Here is an 8,577-nt window from a genome sequence, read left to right as displayed (position 1 = left end):
CATAAACGTGTAACAGTCATTTTACAGCGTGCTTAACAGGCAAGACCTAGAGCTGTTATAAAAGAAGACGTCCTCAATGTCACTTCATTTTCTTTTATTCTTATTATCACATTTAAATCTCTGTAAAAGTGGTCCTGATAGGTAACTTTATGACATATTTCAAGACTATTCATTTCGAACAGAAGTTCCTCCAAGGAATTAACAGGGAAAGGGAGGCCACTTTCTCATCATCCCTAAATTAATACGGTAACAACGGCGAAGAAGAATGGCAGCGTGTGTGCTGCAAGGACTAGGCATGCTACACCATGCAACAGCTGGATCATCTTAGAGGTGACTCTTGTTGGCATTCAGGGGACCACTGGTGGGCTGCCGTATCTTCAGCTAACACCTGACAGCTTACCTTGCAAAGACCTGGGAGTAAAGAGTAGGGTACACAGGCAAAGTCAAGGTTGGGACTTGTTTAAGACAATTCCAAAAAAAACGCTCCATATCAGCACTGGTGGCAACATTCTCATCTTTCCACATTTTCTTAGGAAAGGAGGGACAACAATCTCCCCTGAATCACGTCTGCTCACAGATAAGTGTATCTGCTCACCTGGGTGTTGGCAAACTTTGTCTGAGAGGGCCAGTCGGTCAATATTGTCAGCTCTTCATGCTGTGCTCTAACCTGCTGCAATCAGTTAACTCTTCCCTTGTCATACTGTATCAACAATACATAAAAAGGTCGGCTCATGTCTGTAATCCTAGCACTTTGGGAGGCTGAGGTGGGTCTATCAGTTGAGGTCAGGAGTTCAAGACTAGCCTGGCCAACATGGTGAAATCCTGTCTCCACTAAAACTACAAAAATTACCCAGGCGTGGTGCCACGTGTCTATACTCCAAGCCACTTGGGAGGCTGAGGCAGGACAATCGCTTGAACGTGGGAGATGCAGGCCGCAGTGAGCAGAGAACGCACCACTGCACTCTAGCCTGGGTGACAGAGTGAGACTCGGTCTCAAAGCAAACAAACATTACATAAAAGATAAGCAACACTGTGTTCCTATAAAACTTTACTTAAGGACACTCAAGTTTAAACTTCATGTAGTTTTCACACACCTTGAAATATTTTTCCTTTCATATTTTTTCAGCAATTTAAAAATGTTCTCCTGCAGGCGGCACAAAAACAGGCTGCAGATCAGATTTGGCCCAAGGGCCCTAGTTTGCTTTTTCCCGTGCTAAACCACAGACTGGGAAGAAGGGAGTGGCGCAGTAATCCCATCTTGATCTAAGATTTATTCTGCTGACGCTGTGACAACGAAATGACATAATTTTTTTTTTTTTTTTTTTTTTTTTTTGAGATGGAGTTTCACTCTTGTCGCCCAGGCTGGAGAACAATGGCAAGATCTCGGCTCACTGCAACCTCCACTTCCCGGGTTCAAGCGATTCTCCTGCCTCAGCCTCCCAAGTAGCTGGGACTACAGCTGTGTACCACCATTCCTGGCTAATTTTTGTATTTTCAGTAGAGAAACGGTTTCAACATGTTGGTCAGGCTGGTCTCAAACTCCTGACCTCAGGTGATCCACCCGCCTTGGCCTTCCAAAGTGCTGGGATTACAGGCGTGAGCCACTGTGCCCGGCTCATCATTTTTTTCAACATAGCAAAACTTCAGGGCACATATTTCAAATCAAGTATACTTTAGAGAAAAGCAAGAGAAATTAGTTTCTACTAACAGAAATTTATATTCTAAATTTTCTAAATGTCTTCCTTTAGAAACAATGAACAAGGCCCCAAAGTTTTTCATTATTTAAAAATGAACAAGGGCTTTCAGAATTGACAGGCTTGGAATATGCAGCATTTGGCTTATGAGATAAGAGGCTGACCACATTCCCTCTGATCCTCGTTAGTCATTCCATCATTAAGACAGCAGGTCACAGGAATGCAATATGCAGCCAGTTCCTTGTATTGGTGCTTCTAGGTGGTTGGGGTTTTAATTTGAATTATGCACAAAAATAGGTATTTACTGTGTTACTTTTTCCTGTTTTAACCTTGAGCTTTCCTCAACTCTCTGTCTACTGCAAGCATAGGCGCCTAAGAAAAAATGTGTGGGCAAATTGGCATCATAACACCTAACCAGAATAATCAAAGGAATGTCTTCGCTGAATAAAGTGAAACATTGGAATTAGGTAACATTTCTAAAGAAGGATTTTGCATTAATAGTATTTGAAGTATGTGTAGAATCAAAAACTGATAACCGTTATCTGGAATATTTTGGTGAATAGAAAAAAAAATTGCAAATTGGTACATTAAAATGTAAAAGTTTATTTAATGTGTACATAAATCTACTTCATGATATGACACCACTCCTTGGCATGGAAAAATCATCGTTATTATTTTGATTAAGAGAAACTCTAGCCTAGTTCAGGCCAAATGATGTTCAGGGACTATTGCTTATATATTTTTATCTTCCAACCAATGTGGCCCAAATAAAGATTTTCAAATAGCATGAGGCCATTACCCTAATATAAATGTGTCTCAGTACAAAGTCACAGAAGAAAAAGGGCAATAATAGAAAAGGCAAGACATTCAACTATCGCTGCAGAGATTTCATGGAGGATGTAAAGTTCTGAGATCATCACATCCCAAACCACCACAATCAAAAGGTGCTGGTGAAAAAGATCCAAACGATGGAGAACGTCTTCCTATGATGAAGCTGGTAACTTCCTAGAAACACTGCACAGGACTGTTCCCCATTTGAAGCAAAACTTAATTAGCATTTGTAAACATTCCACCAGACAAATGAGGTGAGAGATGCCTGTTACATTCGCAAAGCATCCTCATCTCCGAGGGCTACCCAGAATCCCTCTGAAATCTGTATTCCATGTTTGCATCAGAATGTTTATTAGCAGCTCAAGAATTGGCAGGACAGGGAAAAGCAGATCCTGGATGAAGAATCACGCCTGATTGTCTTGTAGTTGCCAACATTGGTCAGTGTTCTGCAACGTGAGGACCTTCTGTCATTCTTTTGACTTTTCCCTCTTCCCTGTTCAGTCCTAGAAGCAAGAAAACCGCTAAGGCTGGAAGCATCAAATCAGCATCCAGGGTAGGAAGGAAGAGTGAAAATACCAGCAATGCCACACCATTTTATAGAAAGCAAAAGGTATTCAAGGAAACGTGCTGTTGGTTTCTGATTTTACTTGATGGCTAGAATCTGTCATACAGCCATCCTCAGTTGCTAGGAAGGCTGTGAAGTAGGCACAATATCACCTGTTCCAGCCTGTAGAGTAGAAGGTAGGCAAAGGTACCTACCACACTGGACAATAGCAGTGGGGTCTTGCTGGTCGGGCATGGTGACTCATGACTGTAATCCCAGCACTTTGGGAGGCCGAGGTAGGTCAATCACCTGAGGTCAGGAGTTCAAGACCAGCCTGGCCCACATGGTGAAACCCCCATCTCTACTAAAAATACAAAAATTAGCCAGGTGTGGTGGCGTGCCTGTAATCCCAGCTACTTGGGAGGCTGAGGCAGGAGAATGGCTTGAATCCAGGAGGAGGAGGTTTCAGTAAGTCAAGATGGTGCCATTGCACTCCAGCCTGGGCGACAGAGCAAGATTCTGTCTCAAACATACATACATACATGCATACATACATATATACATACATGAAAATAAAAGAGTGGGGTCTTGCTTCCCCATGAGGATGAAATCGTAGAGGGAAGGAAGCATGCTTAGTTATTTCTGGTTATCTCCAAAGTCAAAAACAAAGATCTTGAGGGGGAAAAGGTAAATGAGAATCCAAAGTGATTTTAAACAAACAATACATCAGGTGAGGCAAAGATGTACTATGCCCCGCATCTTCCTGGGCACAAGGTTATGCTCTGTTTCCTAGCCTCCTGGAGTTCAAAGATTTGTGCCACTCCCAGGCCTCATCCTTAAAATGCTCCACACATGGTCCTGCAAATTCCTACTTCTTCCACCAGCTTTGTGCAGACAACAGCAGGGCAGTGCTGGAAGCCACATGTGTCAGACGGCTGAGCCACAAGATGAAAAGAGCTTGAGTCCCTGGGTTACCACTTGGAAGAGAGCAGCCTGCTAATTGGCAAGAGTCATTATGGATCTTACATAAACAAGAAATAAACTTCTACTATCTTTGAGCAACTGTGCACAGGCGTGCTTATTTGTTATAGCAGCTAGCATCACCTTCAATAACGTACCAACATACAATGTAGATGTCTTAGAATCCCTGAGAATTTCAGTTACATCTTATTGGCTCTATCTAATCCCAGGTTACAGATATCGGTTTGTCTTAGATCTGTTTAGCAAATAACCAAAGGATCACCTCTAGGTGTCACTTGGCCCTGTGGCTGGCTAGCACTGAGAGGAAGCTCTTCTTAGGGAAACAGGGAAAATATGCCTGGTAACATTTCTATAAAATGAGAGGAAAAAAAACACAACCCATGGCCCAGCCTGGTTGTCCATGGTGTAAGCAGAATCCATAGACTATTCCCCACTATCTGCGCGGTACTCAGACATGTCCTGGCAGCCTGCTATGCTTTTCAAGTTTGTTTTTTTAACATCTCTTAACTAGACCCCTTTTATCCAAAAGCCCTTCTGCACACCCCATGACATGCTTCCAGGGAATGTCTAGTTTAAACTGAATGGGTAATTCGTAACACCATCATCACCCTCACTGCGGAGCCTGTCATCTCTGTTTCAGAACACTAGTCTCCTTGTTGCTCACTTTTGGTTTGCCTTCAGCCCTTCTCCAAGTGCTCCTGTGAAGAGATGTATTTTGTAGCTTAAGAGTCTGCCTTTGTAACTTATAGTCAGCTATATTTTCCTTGTTCTGCTCTTAGATGGAAAACAAATTGCATAAGGGAAATGTCTTCATAGTACCAGTTCTTAAATATTTTACAGGTGGATATCTTGATGGGTGGTTTGGAGGCTCAATTATGCTTCTCAGGAGAGGGAATAAATATCCCTGACGATTTCCATAACAAGCATGTGGTGACTTCTTGCAACTTCAAACCTGAGGTATCACCATTTGCCTCTGAAATCTGACTCAATGGCATTTGAGTATTTGAAAACGAGTAAGGCCAGCAAAACTGAACAGGTGTTACAACAAAATCAATCTATCCATCCATCTGTCTTTTGAGAGACTCAAGAAAGATAGCTAAGTCAAGTCATTCAGAACTACTGATGTAAGACATCGTCATACCAAAAGTTTCGCTCTTGAATATACTTTTGGGGTAGAGGGGGTTACAGGTTACAAAGGGAAACCTTTTAAAATGTTAGCTTCCCCCAAAGAAAGACCCACAGAAGATGTGGTGTAATATAATATGGAATTACACTGCACAGTGTTGCTGAAATCAGAATATAGATTGTTGCTGTATCCCACTCCAACTCATTTGATCCAACTACAATTCTTTGAGGTAAGTACCATCATCCCTCCTTTGCAGACAGGAAAACTGAGGCTCAAACAGGTGCAGTAACGTAGGCTAGGTCCATGAACTAGTTAGTATAAATCAGACATGGGATGTGTACTAAGTCTTTATTCCAAGTCATGTGCTTTTTCCACTTACCCTAGCACTCCCTGTAACTATCAAGCTACAAGGGAAGGCCTGAAATCTCTTCTAAGAGGGCCGACAATGGACCATGAGATGACCCTTCCAAGAACAGCATTCCATGGGATGGCTGGAAGCAAAAGGATGAATCTGCAAACTCAGTGTGAACTCTGATAGGTGGTGTTCCTCTGTGCAATTCTCTTTTTTGCCGTTGCAACAATACGTGGGGTTAAGGTGAGAAGGAAGCTGGTATGAGAAGCCAGCAGGCTGCACAGGTGGGGCCTCACAGTCTGGAGTACAGTGTTCTGCTCACCATGAAGTTTAAAAAAAAAAAAAAAAAAGAAAGGCAGCCTAGAACAGCATGCTAAGCTAACAAAGCATATCAGGTCTCCAGAAAAGAGAAGCTGAGCAGAGAACTGGTAGAAAGCCACACAATAGTAAAAGCAGTGAAGATCCAGTGTAAAGGTAGTTCTTGGACTCCCAGAGGCCATGAACATTCCCAGAGGGCAATGAGGACACTTAGAAAATGTCAGTTTTGATTGGTGGCTTGGAAAAGAGCAGAGAGAATTTTGAGCTTTCTTAAACAGTAAAGAAAATATACCAGTGGAACCCCCCATCCCCAAGATTGCCCATTTGTCAACAGATGTCAGAAACACACAAAAAGACAATGAAGTGAGAAAGGTGGAAAAGAAGCCAGGCTGATCAGTATCACTGAGTTTGGAGTCATTTTATATCCAGGAAGACAGGGCACCTAAAATCTTCCAATATGCTTCATAGCTTTGTATGAAGTATGTTCTTCCAAATTCTAAGTAAGGAAGAAAAAGAAGTTTCAGTGCTATAATGTCTAATTCAAGCTTTTATCAGCACTAATTTCAGTCCCCTTTTTCCTTATACTTCTGAACAGAGGGAAAACAGACATTAATTAAGCAAAGCTTTATCTCTTTCTACTCTAATGAAAGCCAAGTTACAGTTATATTTTCCCCAAGATTTTTCTCCACTTAATGAAGACATTATCCCCGAGTTTTCAAAGTCATTTTACAAAAGACCATTCAAGAGACATTACAGTCAGTTTAAACTAAAAAGTCTTTTTTGAAGTCAATAAACAATAAAAGAACAATGAAAAGAGGTCCTTTGATCCTGCCTTAGTCTACAGTCTTTAATTTCTGTTTTAATCTACTAGATAAGACTTGTATTCAAATATTCCTCACCTCTAGCATATAGTAAGCTTGAATTGATCATTTTATAATTCTTTCCTTAAAATATGTGTATGTGCGCATACATGTATATATAGACTGTGTGTATATGGGTATATACATCATACATACACATACATGCATATCTAATTAACATGGGTGGTGATCAGAAAAAAGCCCTCTGCCAGAAAGGGGAAAATTTTTAAATTTACTTCCAGCCTACCTCTTTGAAAAATTTTTTTTAAAAAGAAGGAAAATGGAATCTTTGGCTTTGAAATTCATGACAAGATCAAAGACTATAATGCACATAGATTTTTCAATGTATACATTATTAATAACACAGGCAAACACATAACTAATCAATAGCATGGTCAAGAGATAAGGTACGTTTAGTGTCCCCATGGCTCTGTGAATAACCCCATGCAGGGTAGGGATCGGTGTCCCTCTCTAAGATCTGTTTACTTTACTGGGCATTACATACAACCCAATTATTTCCTGCCCATGCTACAACGTTGCAACTGTGTGATACAGATGGAAGAAAAAAATTTTTTGTGCTTTTTTTTTTGAGACGGAGTCTCGCTCTGTTGCCCACGCTGGAGTGCAGAGGTGAGATATCGGCTCACTGCAACCTCTGCCTCTCGGGTTCAAGTGATTCTCCTGTCTCAGCCTCCTAAGTAGCTGGGATTACAGAAACCCAGCGCCAAGCCTGGCTAATTTTTGTATTTATAGTAGAGACGGAGTTTATAGTAGAGACAGGGTTTCACCATGTTGGCCAGGCTGATCTCGAACTCCTGACCTCAAGTGATCCACCCACCTCAGCCTCCCAAAGTGCTGGGATTACAGGTGTGAGCCACTGCACGCAGCTGGAATATTTAAAAAACAACAACAGCAGCTTAATATGCCACATGTATCAAAATATGTCTCCTTATGTGTTAGCCTCTTTTTGCTGAGATGAAATTCACATAACATAAATTATTTCAAAGTGTACAATTTAGTGTCATTTAGTACATTGACAGTGTTGTAGAGCTATCACCTCTAGTTCCAAAACAGTTTCACCACCCCAAAGGAAACTTGTACCCAATAGCCGGGTGCAATGGCTCACGCCTGTAATCCCAGCACTTTGGGAGGCCAAGGCAGGCTGATCAAAAGGTCAGGAGATCGAGACCATCCTGGGTAACACGATGAAACCCCGTCTCTACTAAAAACACAAAAAATTAGCCAAGCATGGTGGCGGGCACCTATAGTCCCAGCTACTAGGAAGGCTGAGGCAGGAGAATGGCATTAACCTGGGAGGCGGAGCTTGCAGTGAGCAGAGATGGTGCCACTGCACTCCAGCCTGGGCAACAGAGCAAGACTCCGTCTCAAAAAAAAAACAAAAAACCAAAAAAAACTAAAGAAACTTGTACTCATTAACAGGCTTTCCATACTCCCCGCCGCCCCAGAAACCACCGATGCGTATTCTGTCTTTATGAATTTGCCTACTCTGCATATTTTATATAAATGGAATATCCTATGTGACCTCTTAGTGTTTAATGTGTTAGTCTCTTTTAATTTAAAAATAAGTCAAGCCCAACAGAATGCAATTCAGACTGTAAAGATCAGTTATTCAGAAAAAATCATGAAACACAGAATACATTTTAAAAAATAAGGTGATTACACTACTGGTGCCCTCTGATGGTGGGTATTATTTACCTGGGCAATTAAAAGGAAATATGCTAAATTTACATACCAAGGAACATTTACAAGGGAGTAAATTACTAAAACAGGTTTTATAGGTGGAAAATATGAACACATTCCTGAAAAGCATGTTAAATTCAGAGATTATGGGTCCATGTGAGTTACTAATG

The 8,577-nt window shown here is 41.4% G+C and overlaps 1 protein-coding gene across 2 annotated transcripts in view; it reads right to left on the bottom strand.

The window, feature by feature from the left end:
• WWOX (WW domain containing oxidoreductase) overlaps positions 1–8,577 on the bottom strand; it is a 1,113,014-nt gene that overhangs the window by 738,525 nt on the left and 365,912 nt on the right. The gene's annotated exons all lie outside the window — the stretch shown is intronic.

The sequence above is a fragment of the Homo sapiens genome, chromosome 16, assembly GCF_000001405.40.
Source record: "Homo sapiens chromosome 16, GRCh38.p14 Primary Assembly".
Classification (NCBI taxonomy): domain Eukaryota; kingdom Metazoa; phylum Chordata; class Mammalia; order Primates; family Hominidae; genus Homo; species Homo sapiens.
This window is presented reverse-complemented; position numbering and strand designations above follow the sequence as displayed.